We start from the raw sequence: 21,316 nt of genomic DNA on the forward strand, positions 1-21,316 counted from the left end.
AGAAAATGTCTAACATGCACTAGCATACATGGGTTTGGCACTTAGGAAAGAATATCTGGGACAAAGGGTAGGTTTTCGGAGTTATGAGCATTTAGATGGTAGCTGATTCCATTACAGTAAACAAGATCAGCCAGGAGGGCATATATAGTGAAGGAGCAAGGCCAGTGCGGGAACCTAGGAGGACACTGATATTAAGAATGACCAGGAGACCGAGGAGAAATGGTAAGAGACACAGGAGGAAAATGCAGTGTCTTAAAAGCAAGATGACGTGACTTCCTATTTTAATTACCAGGATACTCATGTCACCACAGCATTTTTCAGGAGAAAGAAAAATAAATAGGCTGGGTACAGTAATTCATGCCTGTAATCCCAGCACTTTGGAAGGCTGAGGCAGGCAGATCGCTTGAGGCCAGGAGTTCAAGACCAGCCTGGGCAACGTGGTGAAGCCCTGTCTCTAAAAAAACTAAAGATACCAAAATTAGGCCAGGTGTAGTGGTATATGCCTGCTGTCCCAGCAACAATGGAGGCTGAGATGGGAGGAATGCTTGAGCCCAGGGAAGTCGAGGCTGCAGCAAGCCATGATCGTGCCACTGTATGCCAGCCTGGGTGACAGAGTGAGATCCTGTCTCAAAAAAAAAAAAAAAAAGATGGAAAAGAAAAATAGATGAACATCAAATATGAATACAAATATAACTAGAAAAACATTCCATTCCTTACTTCATCTCTGCTGATGAGTTCATTGGAAAAAGTGAGTCCTGGCATAAGACCTCTCTTCTTTAGCCAGAATATAGCAGCAAAAGATCCTGAGAAGAAAACTCCTTCTACAGCAGCAAAGGCCACCACTCTTTCCCCTGGGAGACATAAAATCGTTTCAATTTTTGAAATATACTGCAAACATTTGCATATATATATATACACATATATAACAATAAATACCACAACTGTTTGCAAAGAAACAAAATACACAAGTTAGTGCCATGGCCAAAGATCTCCATAGGAGAAAATGCGCCACCTCTACCTACTGGAGCAGAAAGGTATGCCTCCTTCAAATCCTCTGTCAGACGATGGACTTCTGTAGGTCTTGGCGTTGGACAAAGAAGGACCTTCCATACTCAAAACAAGAGGTGATTTACGTGTGCACCACACATGACTATGAGTGCAGGTACATGCACATGTGTGCAGTATGTATACATATGTGTGTGTGTGTACTGGAGAGTAGAAGGTAGACTTTATGACAAGTGTCTTCCTCTGAAAGGAGGAGAGGTTGCTTAAGTTTATATTTTTAGAAACCTATGGTATCTTACAGACCATCTGCAAACATTTCAAAAACCACTGGCGTGTATCTGCAATTTAAAAAAAATAGATAAACCCAACTGAGGATAATAAATATATCTATTAGATAAAATGTCCCCATAACATAAGCAAAAATACTGTTTTCTGCTAAATACAAAATGGCCAATTTTAAAGGTTACTCATTGTTAGGCAAGGACTTCGTAGAAATCCATCTCCTATTAATAAATTGTCTACAGTGGCATCATATCTGTAACATTATGCAGGATGATCAGAGCTGTAACCCAAAAGGTCATTCACAAGGTGCTTATGTCACCACACTGCATATGCCTGAGAAAAGTATTTATATATGTCTAAGGAAAAAGGTTTGGTCTATAAGACGGTGAGATACAGGCAGCTGAGTGCTTGAGTGCACTACAAACCGTTTTCATAGGTGACATCACGGTTTATACCTCAGTACATGTCACAGGACCACACCCAAAGAAGTCACTTAATAAACAAGTCCTGAACTGACTCAATGGAACCTATATAAGTACTAGATGAGAGAAGACATTAAAATCCATTCTAGGCCAAGTGCTGCAGTGGCTCACATCTGTAATACCAGCACTTTGGTAGACCGAGGAAGGAGGATCACTTGAATGCAGGAGTTAGAGACCAGCCTGGGCAACATAGCAAAACCCCATCTCTACAAAAAATTTAAAAATTAGCTGGGTGTGGTGGTGCGCACCTGTAGTCACAGCTACCTGGGAGGTTGATGTGGGAGGAATGCTTGAGCCCAGGAGGTCAAGGCTGCAGTGCGCTATGATCACACCACTGCACTCCAGCTGGGCGACAGAGTGAGCCCATCTCAAAAATCATCATCATCATCACTATTCTTAAGATGAGGCTTGTCATTAGTTTAACATATAACTTACTGTATCTTTTATCTTACTATTAAGATAACTTATTGATACGTTTTTAATTGACATTAAGGTAACATCATAAGGATAATTATCTGTCAGGAAAGTAGACTATAATTAAATACAAACGTGAATAAAAGAAAAATTGATATTTTAATTTTTGTTAGAGACAGTATGGGGTCTTGCTCTTGTCACCCAGGCTGTAGTGCAATGGTGCATTAATAATTCAAACAGTCTCAAACTCCTGGGCTCAAACAATGCTCCCACCTTAGCCTCTGACGTAGCTGGGACTACAGGCGTGCGTCACCATGCCTGGCTAATTTTTTTATTTCTTTAGAGCTAAGGTCTCTCTACGTTGCCCTGGCTGGTTTGAACTTCTGGCTCAAGCCATCCTCTCATCTCAGCCTCACAAGTAGCTGGGATTATAGGCACAAGCCACTGTGCCTAGTGGAAAATTGGTATTGTAACCATGCTATACATTAATGTGAATACTAAAGAATGAAAATCATAACATAGTTATAGAAGGCTATTCTTTTTTGGAGAAGATTAAAGGATTATAAGTGGTACATTTTACAATTTTTTGAGAACATATGTGAAATAAAAAGAGGGTTCCGGAACATTTCTCCTAAAAACTATAGTGAATGTAAAGGCCTCATGATTCATTTTAGAGAGGGGAAAGTCGGATACATTTTTAAGATACAGCTGACCTCTATGATGGCAATGTACTAAGATTGTGTAGCTAATATTTTTTGAGGCTTGAAATGAAATTTCATTACATATATTAAGTTTTAATCTGTATATTTGTTTTGAAGTTATTTAAAGATATTTTAAAAATTAAACAGGATGTCTCAATTTTTAAAAATCTATGCAGATATATAATTAGGAAAATTTTTGCTCTATAGGAATTGAATCTCCTTATAACATAAACTTCCAAGCTAATAATTTTTAAAGAAATATTCTTAGTTTCTCTTTAGCTAAAAATAAAGGCTTATAAGAGTCTGGATATAAGGAAAGAATAGTTGCTACGCTGGATCTTAGTGCAAAAGGCACTAAGAAGGTCACCAAAAATGTTAGGCAAAACCCTAAGCCAGGTGAAAGAGCTGCCCTTTTCAACTTAGAGCTACTAATGGTGCAGGTAGCCAAATCAGTTCATGAAACAGCACTTCCTCAGCTGGTTAAAGGAAAGTAGCAGTGTGCAGCAAAGCAAGGCAATATTTCCATGTTACTGTCTTTTAGCTCCACTCCCAAAAAGGAGAGCCACCAATGCACTCTTCACTCTTTCCTCTTTCCCTGTTCCACTCTACACCCATTCAACTCCCCTCCACAATTTTAGAACATGTTCTTTCCTCTGAGACCCTATATTAGAACCTGAAATGGAGTTTCCCTTGAGATTAAGCAATATGGAGAATCTAGCTGGAGTCCTCATGTAGTTACATGGTGACTGCCAGCCTTCTCTGTGTTCTCTATTTCTAGGTTGTCCTTCTTGGGTAGTTCATGAAATACATGCTTTCCGTGGGCCTGCTCATCATTTTTCATCACTACCTACCCATACTAATATTTTCAGCGTATATGGAACACTCTGCCTCTTCCCTTCTTTTTTCTCTAAAGCCAGCATTTCCCAAAGTGTTTCTGAAGCTCCTTGTGAGGGAATCAGCTGAATACAAAATGCAGATTCCTCAGTCCCACCTGGGCCTCCTACATCAGTTTTGGCAGGATTCTTAAAAGTTTTTCCACAAATTCTCCAGATGACTTTTACATATATTGAGAACCAGTGATTTTCTCATTCCTATTTAAATTTTTTTTTTTTTTTTAGAGTCTGGGTCTTGCTCTGTCACCCAGGCTGCAGCACAGTGGATCATAGCTCACTGTAGCCTCAAACACCTGGGCTTAAGTGGTCCTCCTCTCTCAGCCTCCCAAGTAGCAGGGTATACAGGTGCATGCCACCACACCTGGCTAGTTTTTAAATTTGTTGTAGAGATGGGGGCCTTGCTTTGTTGCCCAGACTGGTCTTCAACTGCTGGCCTCAAGTGATCACCTGTCTCAGTCTTCCAAAGCACTGGGATTACAGGCGTGAGCCACCATGCCTGGCTGCTTTTCTCATTCTTGAAATGAACTGAAGGCAAGGAGGCAAACATATCTGCTTCATCCCTGGTATACTACATGCTGGCCCATATACGCACTATATCACTGGTTCTTCAGTGTGGTCCAAGAGTCCCTGAGAGATCCACAGACCCAGGAGACCTGTGAGGTCAAAACTATTTTCATAATAACATTAAGGCATTATTTTTTTTTAACTACCAGTCTCTCATACTTTACAATGGTATTTTCTAGAGGCTACATGACATATCCGTAATAATCTGAAAAGCTAAATAAAATATTCCTCCCTTTTCTAACTATAATACATATTTAAATGAGGCATATACTATATACATATACACTGCAACAAATCGAATGCAAAGGCAGATATGGTACTCCAACTGTTTCCTATTAAGTCAGACATTTAAAAGAGTTACAGAAATTTAAAAGCATGCTATTCTTTTTTTTGGAAAATATAGAAACTTATATAAAAGTGTTATCTGTATTAAAATATAATGGGTTGATTATTGCTATCTTAGAATGCACTAATAAATATTTTTAAATTATCTCAATGTTAATTTCTAATGCAAAAATAACAATACCCATAACCTACCCAAATAAAGGCACTTTGGAGTGCTCAATAATTTTTAAGAGTACAAAGGGGCCTGAGACCAAAAATTTTGAGACTTGCTTCCTCACATAAAGAATAAAACCAGAAAGTAAAGAACACCAATTAAAAATAGATAAGAATGAGATGGGTACTTAGAGCTATCCAAATGAAATATATAAATATTTTAATTAAATTTAGTAAGTATTTATTGAGCAACTACTATGTATAAGACATAATATGATACACTTCCTTAAAAAAATGCTATGGGATCTCAACTCAGCCAGAAGGGTGTTTGCATTTAGCTTACCTATGAAAAATAAGCCTGTTATTACAAATTGGTTTTGTCCTAGTTGATTACACTAATCTTTAGTTTTTGAGAAACTAGATATTTGTTTCCTGAAAAATGTTAAGATTTCACTTGCTTTAAATTTCTAAAATAGGCCAGGCACAGTGGCTCATGCCTGCAGTCCCAGCACTTTGGGAGGCCAAGGTGGGCGGGTCACCTGAGATCAAGAGTTCAAGACTAGTCTGGCCAACATGGCAAAACCCCCATCTCTATTAAAAAATACAAAAATAAGCTGAGCGTGGTGGTAGGTGCCTGTAATCCCAGCTACTCAGGAGGCTGAGGCAGGGAGAATTGCTTGAACTTGGAAGGCAGCAGTTGCAGTGAGCCAGGATCACGCCACCACACTCCAGCCTAGGTGACAGAGCGAGACTCCGTCTCAAAAAAAAAAAAAAAAAAAAAAATTCCTAAAATAAACTTAAAAGCCAGATACAAACTGTGAATTGCTATAATACTCTTGTTATTGCTATGTGACTGACTCCTGTTTAACTGTAATTATGCACTAACATCTTAACTTTTCAACTTCCAACTTATTAAGTAGAATAGGTAACAGCTTTATCACCACTTTCTAATTAATTATTAGGAATAATGATTTTGGTAAAGGTGCATTTGAGACATTTGTACTCCTTTTCCATGCTGTAACTTTGATTCGTACTGGATAGTCACACCACATAAAATACTGTCATATCACCTTAGGCAAATCTGATCATACATAAATTAGAGCCACATACCAAAAGTAGATTTTCTATCTGCTATCCATCGCAAGGCCCAATCTGCTTTTTTCTTAACATAGGGCATGGTTTCAATTGCATTAAATAAAAATTCCCTGTAAAAACAAAAGAATGAACAGCAAAGTTATTCACTTGTTTTTCTTTTTTTTTTTTTGAGACAGAGTCTCGCTCTGTTGCCCAGGCTGGAGTGCAGTGGCACGATCTCGGCTCACTGCAAGCTCCACCTCCCGGGTTCATGCCATTCTCCTGCCTCAGCCTCCCGAGTAGCTAGGACGACAGGTGCCCGCCACCACGCCCGGCTAGTATTTTTAGTAGAGACGTGGTTTCACTGTGTTAGCCAGGATGGTCTCAATCTCCTGACCTCGTGATCCACCTGCTTCGGCCTCCCAAGGTGCTGGGATTACAGCCATGAGCCACCATGCCTTGGCCTCACTTGTTTTTCTTAATTGGACTAAACTTAATCAGAGATAATAATTGTAACTCTACGGTATGCTACCAGATCTGTAGTTTTTATACATTTTTACATGTCCATAGAACAGAAATAAAACTCAAATTATTGGTTTGAATCTGGTCTCATACAAAACCAGCTAAATTTGAGTATTCAATTTCTAAACAGAAGATGCTACTGAACAGTTCTTAAAGATAAAATATCTAAAGGTTAACTGGTTCTATAACAAGTTTTTTTTAAAACCCAATACATTATTAAGCAATAGAAAATATTATGCTCAGAAACTTCCATACTTGAATAATCTTTCCTTAACATTGAGTTTTGGAATAAATTCTGATCTGAACATAACCAAGCCGTAAGCAATATTTTGTAAATAAAATCCCAACAATACCTTTTCTTGGGATCTCTGATGTAAGTGTCTATCAGCAAACTGTACATCTCTGAGTGAACATTCTCGATGAGAATTTGAAAGCCATAGAAACAGCGAGCCTCTGGAACCTGCACCTCCTGACTAAAGCGCTCCACCTAAGAAGATAAGGAAAATAGATATATCCAGTTCTATAGGCTCTCATTAAACACTGCAAATCAGAATCTGGACATCAGCATTATCGCTTAAAAACTGCCTGTCATGTAACAAACAGGTCAGAAAGACCTTATGGATTATTTTAAGCAGTATCCTAGGCAGTACTGTTTATCCATCAATTCTCCATGGTAAATTATTTGCATAGTATATTCTTTTTTTTTTTTTTTTTTTTTTTTGAGATGGAGTCTCGATCTGTCACCAGGCTGGAGTACAGTGGCGCCATCTTGGCTCACTGCAACCTCTGCCTCCCAGGTTCAAGAAATTCTCCTGCTTCAGCCTCCCAAATAGCTGGGGCTACAGGCATGCGCCAACACGCCCAGCTAATTTTTGTATTTTTAGTAGAAATGGGTTTTCACCATGTTGGCCAGGATGGTCTCAATCTCTTGACCTCGTGATCCGCCCACCTCAGCCTCCCAAAGTGCTGGGATTACAGGTATGAGCCACCGTACCCGGCCTATCTTTCTAATTCTTTTTAAAAAGAAATTATGCCTCCTGATCAACCATAATCAAGTTTTAAAATGGGGAGCCAGAATCCAGTGTTCTATTACAGAGCTCCAAAGGTTAAGGTGCAGGTTCTCTATTAAGCTTACTATCTGAGAGTAAAAATCAAACTCATGTTAATGCACTGTAAATAGTTTTGATTCATATCATTTATGCTTGATTTAATAATAGTTTGCTGGTCAAAGGATAAGCAATTCATCAGAAAAACATTTAAAGAGTTAAGCTTCATCTAGTTCATTTTTTAGACATCTTGTCTTTGGCTGAATTTAATAATCTTACTGACATTATCATCATTTAACTGCTAAAGGAGAACAAAAGTTAAATCAAGCAAAAATCTTACCAAATTTTCATTTACAATTCCATCACTGGCTGCAAAAAAGGCTAAGATGTGAGAGATGAAGTACTTCTCATCTGCTTTAAGCTTGTTCCAGTGAGGGAGATCCTTTGATAAGTCGACCTGGAATAAAAAGATTTTCAAAAATTTTAATTTGGAGTTAAGTTCTTCTCAAAGTGTTTGGGAAACTAACTTCTATTGTTAAGTAGGAATATCCCACTACCAGTAAACTATGGAAAAAGAAAGATGTTAGCACTGCAAAGAAATAAAAAAAAAAGTTATGTTAACAAGTGTATTATATTCAGGATTTTTGTTAAATGAGTAGATTACAGCTATTCTTGGTGGGGGGGTGAACAGCTAAACTATGTGAGGCAAAGGAAATATTAATTTGTTACATAATGGGTAACCATTTTATTATATATATATATATATAACATCATGTCATACACCTTAAACATACACAATAAAATTTATCTTTAAAAAATTAAGATGGAATCGAATTTTCTGGCTAATTAAGAAGCTGGCCAGGATGTACTTTAAAAATATTCAAATTAACATAATCTAGTGGCACTGAAGCAAATGAAAGAAGGGCTAAAAGGGGAGGGGGGAGAGTAAAAACTAGTCAAGAAGGCACTGAAGTAAATAAACTAATGAATCTCAACAGTCACTGCTTTAACATTTTATATAATATGTGCTATGGTGTTAGATAATTAGGCACCTATTAACCAACTGTAGCTGCTACTTTACTGCCAGGTAATCAGTCTACTTTTACATCCAGAAGTAATGCCAGGCAGGTAACAACCTGAGTTTTGTTTTGTTTTGAGATGAAGTCTCGCTCTGTCGCCAGGCTAGAGTGCAGTGGCATGATCTTGGCTCACTGCAACCTTCGCCTCCCAGGTTCAAGCAATCCTCCTGCCTCAGCCTCCCGAGTAGCTGGGACTACAGGCAGGCGCCACCATGCCCAGCTAATTATTTGTATTTTTTAGTAGAGACGGAGTTTCACCATGTTGGCCAGGATGGTCTCAATCTCTTGACCTCATGATCTGTTTGCCTCGGCCTCCCAAAGTGCTGGGATTACAGGCACGAGCCACCACAGCTGGCCTTGTTTTGTTTTTTTAAAGAGATGGGGTCTCACTATGTTGCCCAGGCTGGTCTCAATCTCCTGGCCTCAAGCAATCCTCCTACCTCAGCCTCTCAAAGTGTTGGGATTACAGGTGTGAGCCATCACAGGTGGCCAACAACCCAGTTTTTTTTTTAAAGCAGTTTATACATAGGTATGGCTTCCATTGGGAATGGAAATATTTTTGAAAATGTTCATTAGAATTAGTCTTTGGAATTAAGGGAGACGTACTTTAGAATTTGGTGAAACCTACAATTTAAAAATTGTTTATTTTTTTAATTTTTGAGATGGGGTTTCACTCCGTCACCCAGTCTGGAGTGCGGTGGCACAATCTCAGCTCACTACAGTCTCTGCCTCCTAGGCTCAAGCAATCCTCCCACCTCAGCCTCCAGAGGCACAGGTGGGACCACAGGCACACAAAACCATGCCTGGCTAATTTTTTGTATTTTTGGTAGTGACAGGGTTTTGCCATATTGCCCAGGCTGGTTTTGAACTCCTGAGCTCAAGTGATCTGCCCGCCTCAACCTCCCAAAGTGCTGGGAGTACAGGCCTGAGCCACTGCACCCAGCCAAAAATTGTCTTTAAATGTACCTTCCCTTAGTCAGTTCTGGGGGCTATAACAAATTACCATTGACTGGGTTGCTTAAACAGCATACTTTTATTTTTCTTTTTGAACATTTCTGGAAGCTGAAAGCCCAAGATCAGGATGTCAGCATGGTTGGGTTATTGGTGAAGGCCCTCTTACTGATTTACAGATGGCCACCTTCTTGCTGTATCCTGACATAGCAGAGAGAGAGAGATCATATCTCTCATGTCTCTTAAGGGCACTAATCCTATTCATGAGGGCTCCACCCACATGACCTAATTACCTCCCAAGGCTCCACCTCCAAATACCATCACACAGCATATATAGACATCATTTTGATAGGGACAGGAGGCAGGGAAATTCTGGGCAGAAGAAGATGGTCCCCAGCGAGGACTCCACCCTCAATCCTGGAACTGCAGCCCAAAGTGACATGTATTCCTGTTTTCCCACTATAATGTTGCCCTTTCCAAAACCACCCATGGCCCCACTCCCCTACCCTGTGCCCATAAAAACCCCAGGCTCTACCAGCAGAGAAGAGGAGAGGAGAAGAGGAGAAGCAGCTGGATGTCAGAGACTACGGTTGGATGTCGGAGAGAAGCAGCTTAACTTCAGAGGGACAGCTTGACAGCATTCCTTTGGAGAGGAGTCAGCTGGGGACGGCCAGACAGACTCCAGGAGAAGATTATTTTTCCACTCCATCCCCTTTCCAGCTCCTCTTCCCACTGAGAGCCACTTTCATTGGCAACAAAATCCTCTGTATTCACCACCCTTCGATTTGTTCATGTGATCTGATTTTTCCTGGATGCTGAACAAGAGCGTGGGTGCCACAGGTGTGGATGCTAAAAGCTGTCACACTGACCCTCTGCCCTCACTGGTGGAGACCAACTGCCCCATGTGAAAAGGCAGAGGGCCCACTGAGCCGTTAAAACTTAAGCCATCTGCGGACAGCAAAAGCTAAAAGAGAGTTAACTATAACACATTCCTTCTGGGGCTTCAAGGGTTGTGGGTACTCCTCACAGATGCTGCCATGAGGCCTGCATGGAGTTTTGCTCCTGCCGGTGCCCAAAAGAATTCACCCAAGCTCCTGCACCTGCTCACCTGCATGCTCCCTCCCTCAAGGGGCTGAGCGCAATGGGTTCAAGTGAGTGGAGTTTGCCCCTGCCAGCGCCAAAGCAGCCAGCTAGCTCCAGCATGCGCATTCCAGTTCCCACCCACGAAGGGATCGGAGAAACTATCCTGCTTCAATTTTGTCAGAAAAAATCTTTTAAATATTTTTCATAATTAACTTCATGAACAGTTGAAATATGTAATTGTCTTTGTCTTTTGCCTTTCTTTTATTTACTCTAACAAACCCTCGGCTGGGCACGGTAGCTCACGCCTGTAATCCCAGCACTTTGGGAGGCCAAGGTGAGTGGATCATGAGGTCAAGAGATTGAGACCAACCTGGTCAACATAGTGAAACCCTGTCTCTACTAAAAATACAAAATTAGCTAGGCATGGTGGCGCATGCCTGTAGTCCCAGCTACTTGGGAGGCTGAGGCAGGAGAATCGCTTGAACCCAGGAGGAGGAGGTTGCAGTGAGCCAAGATCGTGCCATTGCACTCCAGCCTGGCAACAGAGTGCAACTCTGTCTCAAAAACAAAACAACAACAACAACAAAAAAAAAAAAACCCACAAAGCCTCAAGCCTCAATCTCTTTGACCTTTCCAAAAAGGACTAATGTCCCAATCTTTTAATCACATGCTATTTTCCAAATCCTTTTTCCCACTAATTTATTCTTTAAGTGTTTGCTGAGCACTTACTGCACACCTGACACCGTGCTAAGCACTGGGGATACAACGGAGCAGGGTGGAGGAAATATTTGTCTTCATCTTTTAAAATATGCAACCTAAAAATCAAGTTCTGTTCTATTAAAAGCTCAACTCAGGTTTAACTGAAGGACATCTTCTTCATTCATATATATTATAACCCCTCAGGTTTTTTTTCGGAGACAGTCTCACTCTGTTGCCCAGGCTGGAATACAGTGGCATGATCTGGGCTCACTGCAGCCTCTGCTACCTGGGCTCAAGCGATTCTCCTGCCTCAACCTCCTGAGTAGCTGGGATTACAGGCACCTGCTGCCACGCCTGGCTAATTTTTGTATTTTTACTAGAGACAGGGTTTTACCATGTTGTCCAGGTTGGTCTCAAACTCCTGACCTCAAGTGATCTGCCCACTTTAGCCTCCCAAAGTGCTTGGATTACAGGTGTGAGCCACCATGCTCGACCTCTTATATATTATATATTTGATATTAAATGTTAATATTGTAAGATGCTTCCTCTTAAATATTAAAATTATTTCTTTGAACACTCAGTTTCAAAGGTCTTCTAAATTTTATTTACACTACATTGGAAATATTCCCTTCCTGCCTAGCTTTTTCTTATTTGAGCAAATTCTCAATTTCATCATTTAAATACTGATTCCAAACTAGACAATTATCATAACTGCCTGAGTGGCTTTAAAGAAAAAAGTCCCAAACCCCAGACTTTTGTCTTTTGATCAGGGTTTCTGTTGATCAGCCATATTTAAGAATTAAGCTCAACCATTTAAGCTGACTAAATGGTAACTTACATAATTTGTAAATGAAAAATATGTGGAACTAAAAATGTGTTTGATTTATCTTCAAAATATGTATTTGAATCGTCCTATAATTAGCTACAGAACACGTACCAACCTGTAGATTTCAGTTTTTAAAAATTAGTGTTGCTTTGTTACAGGTCACATATTACCTTTGCTAAAAGATGCAAGTTAATTTCCAAATGAATTTCAAGAATCCTAAGAATCCTAAGTACCTTTTTAACATAATGAACGAAAAAGCCACCTGCGTATTCCACTCGTTCTCTGAACCGTATCTAACAAAAAACCTTTCTAAAAACCACAGACAGTTAGGGACAGTCAGGTGTGTCAAGCATTATGACCACGTATGAAAATATTGGGTGTTTGTTTTTGTGTGGTTTGGTTTTTTGCTCTATATGTCAACTATAATATAACAAAGATGTTGACAATATAACACTACAATATAACAAAGATGGGTAAGTGGGTAAAATTAGTGTAATAGAAGCTTCAAACACTGGTGCCTTCTGATTTCTAGGTTAAATTTTCCCCCTTCTGTGCATAAAATAATAGTTTACATTTATTTAGTGCCTACTAAGTGTCAACTACCATTTTAAATATCTCATAAATCCTCATAACAACACAAATAGCCAAGTACAATTAGCCTAATTTACTGATGAGGATACACAGAGAGGTTATGTAACTTTCCCAGTTCCATAGCTAGTAAGTAGTGGCACAGGATTTGTACCTAGGCAGTCTGACCCCATAGCCTGCATTCTTAACAGCATGTGTTTAACATTTATAGAATTAATGTCTTGAAAAATAGATTCAAATCTATCTATCCAAATAGATACATCTATCTATAGAGATACATATACAAACATATACAGAACAAGAGTGCTGTATAGGTATCACCCATTATATTTAAAGATCAAGACAATAACTATTTGTTCAGTTAGACTACAGGGCAATCATTTTCATGACCACTGTCCTTACCAACCAGCAAATATTTTCTAGTTTGCTGTGTTCAACTGATCTCCCAGGTGGAATTAACAAAAAGCTTTCTACAGCTGATCTATTAGTGGCAACTCTGTCACGTTTGATGTAGCTGAGGGCAGGGCCAAACTGGGAGCAGCACTGTGAGTTCCACCTGGCTGACTCGGGAGTGAGTCCACAGCCTAGAGGATCAAACTCTTCATGCAGCGGCTCATTTTGTACAATCAGATAAATCTCTCAATTGAAAGCAGAGTTGCTACAGCTTTCACTCATTTTTTGACTACAGCTGCAATTTTACTTATTCTGCTGACCTTGTAAGACTAGTCAGACAAGTCTTACTTGGCCATATCAAACTAAAAGTCTGTTTAAAAATAGAAAATGTTGGCTGGGCGTGGTGGCTCATGCCTGTAATCCCAGCACTTTGGGAGGCTGAGGCAGGTGGATCACAAGGTCAGGAGTTTGAGACCAGCCTGGCCAATGTGGTGAAACCCCATCTCTACTAAAAATACAAAAATTAGCTGGGCGTGGTGGCTGGCGCCTGTAATCCCAACTACTCAGGAAGCTGAGGCAGGAGAATCGCTTGAACCCGGGAGGTGGAGTTTGCAGTGAGCTGAGATCGCGCCACTGCACTCTAGCCTGGGTGACAGAGTGAGACTCTGTCTCAAAAAAAAAAAAAAAAAAGAAAAAGAAAAAAAATGTTCTAATATATTGGAAATAAAAATCTGGCAGAATTAGATGCCATTGTTGCAGCAGAAAACTTGTTTATAGATAGTAATCTAAACTAAAACATTGAGAACATCATATTTAGTCTCAGTAATTCCAACACTTATCTTCTACAACTGATCTTCTTCAATGTATAAGTTAAAGTTATTCAATATCCTGTAAAACAAGAAGGAACACTGCACTATAGGATGTGAATGCTCTTGGAGGCAATGCCACGTACCTCTTCTGCTGTCCAGAAGGAAGCCTGTGCCTGTTTATACATTTTCCAAATATCAGGGTACTGGATTGGAAAGATGACAAACCGGCGAGAACTCTTTCTTAGGAGTGGCTCTTCATTTGACTTTATTTCACTTTCGTTGGTGTCTGAAGATGATCTCTTTGAAAAATAAAGTACAAACACGCCTTTTATATAGACATTTCTTCTTTATTCATACCTAAACATACATCTAAGGAAGTCAGGGAGACGGCATTGGTTTGAGAGCCTGTCTGCCTGGGTTGAATCCTTACTGTTACCTGGTAGCTGACTAATACTGTTAGGAAGTGCGTGTGTGACCATAGAAAGCTGCTTAACTTCTCTAACCCTCAGTCTCCTCAGCTGTAAAATAATTCCTACCTCATAGGTTTATTCTGATGATTAAAAGTGCTTTAAACAAAGCCTGGTATATAGTAAGCACTCAAAAATTATTGTAATTATTGCTAGTTTGAGGATAAGTACAAAGCTAGACCCATAAATGTCATCATGATGGGCAAATTTCTAAGTTTGTGAACAAAATGTCCCTTTAGAGCCTCTCTGATAAGATTGCTGGAATGAATAAGCTACTGGTATAAGCTACTTTAATGTTTTTTCTTTCTACTCTTCACTGAAATAATATAATACTTATCTGAAAACTCATTACCTACAACTTAACCTTTGTTCATCTTAGCCTTCTGATACTCCAATTTGTTACTGCTATTTACATTCTAACATTACTGCATATGATCTCACTGTGGGCTGTCTCAAAGCTTTGTGAATAAAGTGAGAAACACATACCTGTATTCACACTGCTTCAAAACACGATGGCACTCTAAGAGCAAATGGTGCCATGCATATATTTTTAAAATAGCGGGAACATCAGAAGAGAATCAGAAGAGTCGCACATGTGTGAGAATGAGTATAAACAAAGGACATACAAATAAGCTAAACGTGTATAAACCAGGATTAGAACACATACAACTTCTAGACTCCTATCCAAAACTGTCTCTCTCTCTACTGTGACAGGCCCGTTATGTTCCTTACTCCAGCGTCCACCCATTGTCACCTCGCCAAAGCAACTGTTATAGCAGAGGAGGCTAAGGCTTAGCAAGAAGAAAGCCCAAAATACAAGCATACGGCTATGCAAATACAGGGGGGCTTGCGTGCTTTATACCTACTGCCATCACAGTACAGATGGTCTTGATTTTAACTACTTGTTTAAAGGTATGGGCCTCCTCAGATACAGCACTTGAGCCCTGGAGAAGAGGAACCAATTTTTATTTGTTGTGATGTTCCCAGAGCTTAGTATCGTGTCAAGCATGTTAGCTAAGTAAATGGGCTGCTAATTTCTCTTCTTCCTGTACTCAGATTTCTAGGTACCTTTAGAAAATTTTAATTTAACATAGGACCACAATACATCAGTGAGACAACCCAATAACCATTAAAATCAATCACATTTTCCCCTCTTCACATCACCCCAAAGGTCTGGGTTAGGTTCCAGATATAAGTACATAGCTCACTGCAATTTAATTCCCTGTTAATTGTCTCTAATTTCCTGTGCTTCTTGAAAGTAAAATCCATTTTCACCCTTGTAGAATCCCTTGTGCTTAGCACAGTACCTGGCACTTAGTTGGTACTCATTCCACAAATATTTGAGCAATTTTTTTTTAAGACTGGGTCTTGCTCCGTCACCCAGGCTAGAGTGCATAGATCAGAGTAGTGTGATCATAGATCACTGCAGTCTCAAACTCCTGTGCTCAAGCAATCCTCCTGTCTCAGCCTCCCAAGTAGCTAGGACTATGTGCACACGTCACCACACCTGGATAATTTTTAAATTTTTTGTAGAGATGGGGGTCATGCTATGTTGCCCCGGCTGGTCTCAAACTCCTGGCCTTTGTTATTTTTATTACTGAAATTTGGGATATACTCAAAGTATGAAAGTTGGGAACTTCTATACTTTTGTTACTGGAAGTTGGGAAGGACATCACAAGCAGTCACTCTTCAGCACCAAATGCCCTGACGATGAATGAAGTTTTTAAATGATGATAAATAACTGATCTGCTGAAGACTAGTACCTTTAAGTTAGAATGAAAGTCACATTTGTATACACATTCTCCTGTTCTATCCTGATAACCTGTAGACTATTAAGAGGAGTAGCTGGATTAGGAGTGTATTATGAGGGATTTTGCAATGTGAAGAGAAGGAGGTTAACCAACATCAACCTTTGAGCTGGGCTAGAGATGACGTATTATTTCATAATGCTTAGAAACGTGCACAAACATACATTTGAATACAATTTCAGAAAGTTCATGCATCTTGAAACTCTAGGCTCTCCACAGTACCCTCTGTGGACCTAATCTAAGAACCCATATTTTAGAAGAAAAAAAAAATGTGAAAAAAGATATGATGGGCAGGGCGCGGTGGCTCACGCCTGTAATCCCAGCACTTTGGGAGGCCGAGGCGGGCGGATCATAAGGTCAAGAGATCGAGACCATCCTGGCCAACATGGTGAAACCCTGTCACTACTAAAAATACAAAAATTAGCTGGGTGTGGTGGCGCGTACCTGTAGTCCCAGCTACTCGGGAGGCTGAGGCAGGAGAATCACTTGAACCCAGAAGGCAGAGATTGCAGTGAGCTGAGATCACGCCACTGCACTCAGGCCTGGTGACAGAGCAAGACTCCATCTCAAAAAACAAAACAAAACAAAAAGAAATATATGGGTGCATGAGAGAGCAGCCTACTAGACATAGAAATTTCAAAGCTCATGGGTATCTATATTTTTACAGGGTTAATAAAAGAGCAAAATTGGTTAGTAGTAATCTGATTTTTAAAAAATTTTGGAGGTTAAAGTGGTCTGCTTTGATATAAAACACTTTGGCATCTAATAACTCTAAGATGTATGCTATTGGGAGCCACTGAAGGTTTTTAATAAGGCAAATAACATAATCAGATATATCTTTTAAGATCGCTTTTCTAGAAACATTGCTAGATTAGAAGAGAAATTAGAGGCAGAAAGAACAATGAAAAGATTATTGTACTACCCATCTCTTGCCTGAACTAGAAACACACACAAAAATTGATTTAAGTGATATTCAGAAGTAGAATGAATTATTCTTCCTAAAAATTTGAATTTGGGACAAGGGGCAAGAACAGTTAAAGATGCCCTTGATGTTTCCAGCTCCAGTAACTGGGTGATAACAAGATCTAAAAGGCACACACAAGGTGCTCAGTACCTGGAGAATAAATAAATAAATCAGACAAAAATTTTGCTTCTCACATTAGATGTTTAACGGAAGTTTAATTTAACTCCTCCCACCAAGCCAGGCGACAACAACAAAGTTACAAACACAATATCCTCACAAAGTCAACTAGGTCATTAGAAGAGATAATGAATTCAGGCCCGGCGTGGTGCCTCACGCCTGTAATCCCAGCACTTTCGGAGGCCGAGGCGGGCGGATCACAAGGTCAAGAGATTGAGACCATCCTGGCCAACATGGTGAAACCCCGTCTCTACTAAAAATACAAAAATTAGCCGGGCGTGGTGGCGTACGCCTGTACTCCCAACTACTCGGGAGGCTGAGGCAGGAGAATCACTTGAACCCAAGAGGCAGAGGTTGCAGTGAGCCGAGATTGTGCCACTGTATGTACTCCAGCCTGGTGACAGAGTGAGACTCCGTCTCAAAAAAAAAAGAATAGAAAAGATAATGAATTCAGTTTCAAGATGTCCAGTAAGCAGTTAAAAATATAACACTGCAGAACACGAGTGATGGAGATCCCATTAGTGGTTGCCAAGGGAATGGATGTGATTATCCAGAGAGAACATATAGAGCAGCAAGACAACTGAGGATACAGTCTTAGAGAATGCTGATATTTAAAGGGCAGATGAAAGAAGAGAAGCCAGCTGAGATTAAAACAGGCTGAAATGGATGCAGGACAAGGAAAAGCAAAAGTAGGAATGATGTGATTTGGCTAAAGCAAAGGATCTAGACTCTTAAGATAAATCAGACTAAGAGGTTAGGAATCAATTTTGTGGCCAAAGATCTTCAAACATCGGAGGTCTAGAAGGCTCATACTCCAATTCTCCCCATTTGCCCCCAACCCCAGGTGCTGGCGTTCATAGCAGGGTACAGTTTGAAAATCTGTACCCCACAGATTTGGGGGTACAAATAGTCATGGAGAGTTTCTGAATGGGAATTAACATGAATAGAGGTGGCATTAGGAAGACTAATCAGAAAACCACGTATAGGATTAATTGATAAAAAACTAGATTTTGCAAGCAACTAAGGAACCAATTTCAAAGATGGAAATGAGGACTTGAATTAAGATGTGGCAGTTAGCATGAAAAAAGCAGCTTCAACAAGACTTCACCAGCCTGAGGTGTTGGCCAGGCTTTTTGGTAGGAATTGAGACTCTTTTGGGAGTTTTTTGGGGGACACAGGGTCAGTGACACTGAGGCACTGGTCTAATGAAGGATTAACTTGGCAATGGTAATTAGGATTGAATGGCAGGTAAGATAGGAGATAGAGAAACAACAAAATTATTATAGCCGCACAGGTGTAAAGTGATGAGAATTTGAAATAAAGTTTAGCAGTAGGCATTCCTTAGTGACATTCTGCTGTTTTTTCCAGAATGGTACTTCCAGTTTCCGACTGACTCAATTTCTGGTCACCCAGTTGGAAGACATGCCTGGGCATGTCAGGACAACAATTTAGGTCAAGATTTCCCAGCAAGCACTTACGATGCCCCAATCTAGGCTGGCATCATACCAGGCTCTTACCTCCTATCCAGCCCCAATTCCACCACTTCCGTTTCTTTGCCTTTATGTCTCTTCTACTTCTGTAAAATAGCTGTATGTTGTCATAGTCATACACTACTTGTAAGTATTATTTTCACTTCTATTCCCACAAAGTCTGACGGAACCAATGGGATACCCGCCCAGGTGCAAGAACTTGGTTTTAAATTTAGCTCCTCTACTGAGTCCTGGGCATGCCATTTAATGTTTTCTGGCCTAAACTTTACCTTGACAATAGACTATGAATTAGATTAGCAATAGTTAACTCTGAGAAATTGACAATAACTATGGACCCCTTTCTCAGAAGATTCACATCTGCACATACAAAATCTACATATCACTTCAGGAGATTTATAAAGCCCCTTCTAGTCTATCTATGGACCCTTTAAGACAGTGGGGGGTTTTTTGTTTTTGTTTTAATATGTGTACCAGGATCACCTGAAGTACTTGTTAAAAATGCAGATCTCAAGAGATTTTGATTCACTATGTTTGGGGTGTTGGTCCAGCAATTTACATTTTTTACAAAATACTCCAAGTGACTCTGATGCAGGTCTCCTATTATGCACTCTGGCATCTAGAAAAACAAAGTGCTTCAGGCAACCCAGCATCTCAAGTTAAAAACTTTTGGACCACTAAAATTCATTCTGAATCTAAAATTCTGTCTGTCCTTGCGGGTCTGTATCATTGAGATAGGAGTAATAAATAAAATGTAATATCCAGGTGTTAAGCCTGAATCACTGCTGGTGCCATTAGCATAAACAGCAGTCTGAATTTTCCCCTTTGAGTAGGGAAGTTGGTACTAAACGCATTTGTTTCAAAACAGGAAGAAAAAGCTTGAGGGATATTTACAGTTAGTTACTAAATGCTTACAAAAATCAAGTTAAATAAAATAAAATCTCAAACCTGGAATCTACAACTTTCTAAAGAAATGTAGGGCCAAGCATGAATCTCTTGGGGTGGAAACGTTTGTTTCCCCCAAATCTTCACAGTATTAAATCAAAGATACCACAGCAACAGGTTCCAGTAGTACAAAAAGCATTTCTCTTGTCCACAAAGGGCTTAGAAGTATTTGCAAAATGACAGTGTTTGAAAATTATACAGCAACAGTTTAAACTACCATACAATCCTACAGTCTAACAAATTCTGGTTTATTTATTTTAGGTACTTTTATCAGCATAAACAACTTGGATGAACAACTTGGGCTTATTAAGCACCTACAATTTTCGTGGCACTTTGCATAAAGCATTTTACTTAATTCTCTCTGAAGTATCACTTCCATTGTATAAAGGAAGAAAGTGACACCCCGAAGATTCAGTTAGTTAAGGAGCCGGGCCTGAGCAAAACTGGCCTCCTACCCTGATTTTTTCACTGGGAGGAGGTCATGAGGATTTCGTGTCCCCTTCTACCTGTCATCTTCACCCCAGCCACCTGTGTCAATTTCCACACGCGTTCTCCAACTCCTTGTCACCATCCCAAATGGTATGCACCTCTCCAGCAGAGCCGCCACAGTCCTCTTTCCTTGCCTCGGTTTCCCTGGCCAGGGCTCCAAAACAGGGAAGGAGGGTGGGAGAGCGTGAGGCGGATAAACGCAGGGGTAAGTCTCACCCCGGCCTGAGGCCTCCAAGCGTCGTCCTTGGCTGGCCCCGGGGCAGAGCAGCGAGCGGGACGCAAACCCAAAGTCAGCTCCTTCCTCCGCCCTCCCCGGGGACGGCCTCCCCGGCGCTCGCAACGACGAAGCCAGGCTGCGGCGAGGGCGGGCGGACAGGCCTGTCCTGACCGCGGCGAATAACATTTCCTACAGCGGTCCTGCAACTTGCAATCTAACGGGCTGGCGTGACTGCGGTGAGGGGGAAGACGCAACAGCAACATTTACCTCATCCTGATCCAGCCCGGCCGCTTCCGGCCTTTCCGGGTCGCCCATCGCGCAGACTCCGCCGAAGCTACGGGCGCTGAGGGAACTGAGCTCCTCAGGCCACCTCCAACTACGACAGCACCCAGGTGGTCCGCTGGTCCGCTGGGTCCGCCCCGCCCCCAGCTCTAGGGACTCGGCCGGCCCCGCCCCGCCGCGCCGGTCCTGCTTTCTCGCCTGTCCATTGAGTGACTCTCCCTGCGCCGGCCCGGCCCCGCCTCCCCCGCCTCGGGGCTCCGCCTAACTTCGGCCAGCCCCGCCTCCCCGCCTGCGGCCTAAGGGTTTCTCCCCGCCTCGGCCGACCCGCCTCCCCTACTGCGGCCTAAGGGATCCTCCCCGCCTCGGCCTGCCCTGCCTCCCAGCCTGTGGCCTAAGGGATTATCCCTGTCTCGGCAAGCCCCGCCTGCCTTGGGGCACCGCCTACCTCTGCCAGCCACGCCTCCCCTGCCTCGGGGCTCCGCCTACCCCGGCCAGCCCCATTTCCCCGCCTGCGGCCTAAGGAAATCTCCCTGCTTCCGCTGGCCCCGCCTTACTCTGTTGCACCGCCCAG

The 21,316-nt window shown here is 41.2% G+C and overlaps 1 protein-coding gene across 3 annotated transcripts in view, besides 5 other annotated features; it reads right to left on the reverse strand.

The window, feature by feature from the left end:
- Positions 1–20,865, reverse strand: part of RRM2B (ribonucleotide reductase regulatory TP53 inducible subunit M2B) — a 34,461-nt gene extending 13,596 nt beyond the window's left edge. Inside the window, exons 1-6 of one of the 3 annotated variants that reach the window (NM_001172477.1) lie at positions 20,463–20,735; positions 14,053–14,208; positions 7,822–7,938; positions 6,789–6,922; positions 5,950–6,044; positions 718–851 (exon numbers count right to left, since the gene is read on the reverse strand). In NM_001172477.1, coding sequence (NP_001165948.1) covers positions 718–851; positions 5,950–6,044; positions 6,789–6,922; positions 7,822–7,938; positions 14,053–14,208; positions 20,463–20,726 — 900 coding nt within the window. In that variant the 5' untranslated portion in view covers positions 20,727–20,735. Of the gene's footprint in view, positions 1–717; positions 852–5,949; positions 6,045–6,788; positions 6,923–7,821; positions 7,939–14,052; positions 14,209–20,462 lie in introns of all 3 variants that reach the window. The other 2 variants (NM_015713.5, NM_001172478.2) reach the window with 2 other exon arrangements.
- Positions 10,411–10,911: an enhancer, noted in NCBI's record as "H3K27ac hESC enhancer chr8:103240735-103241235 (GRCh37/hg19 assembly coordinates)". NCBI's record gives its function as "activates a minimal SCP1, AML or CMV promoter by ChIP-STARR-seq in primed H9 embryonic stem cells {active_cell/tissue: H9 hESC(primed)}" and the evidence as "EXISTENCE:reporter gene assay evidence [ECO:0000049][PMID:30033119]".
- Positions 13,614–13,833: a silencer, noted in NCBI's record as "fragment chr8:103243938-103244157 (GRCh37/hg19 assembly coordinates)". NCBI's record gives its function as "represses an EF-1alpha promoter that drives an FKBP-Casp9 reporter gene in an ReSE screen in K562 erythroleukemia cells {active_cell/tissue: K562}" and the evidence as "EXISTENCE:reporter gene assay evidence [ECO:0000049][PMID:32094911]".
- Positions 18,186–19,385: an enhancer, noted in NCBI's record as "MED14-independent group 3 enhancer chr8:103248510-103249709 (GRCh37/hg19 assembly coordinates)". NCBI's record gives its function as "activates an origin of replication core promoter dependent on BRD2, BRD4, P300/CBP and CDK7 cofactors, and independent of MED14, by STARR-seq in HCT116 cells {active_cell/tissue: HCT116}" and the evidence as "EXISTENCE:reporter gene assay evidence [ECO:0000049][PMID:35650434]".
- Positions 20,689–20,788: an enhancer, noted in NCBI's record as "active region_27747". NCBI's record gives its function as "activates an Ori minimal core promoter by ATAC-STARR-seq in GM12878 lymphoblastoid cells {active_cell/tissue: GM12878}" and the evidence as "EXISTENCE:reporter gene assay evidence [ECO:0000049][PMID:35858748]".
- Positions 20,859–21,288: a silencer, noted in NCBI's record as "silent region_19436". NCBI's record gives its function as "represses an Ori minimal core promoter by ATAC-STARR-seq in GM12878 lymphoblastoid cells {active_cell/tissue: GM12878}" and the evidence as "EXISTENCE:reporter gene assay evidence [ECO:0000049][PMID:35858748]".

Source organism: Homo sapiens, chromosome 8, assembly GCF_000001405.40.
Source record: "Homo sapiens chromosome 8, GRCh38.p14 Primary Assembly".
Classification (NCBI taxonomy): Eukaryota; Metazoa; Chordata; class Mammalia; order Primates; family Hominidae; genus Homo; species Homo sapiens.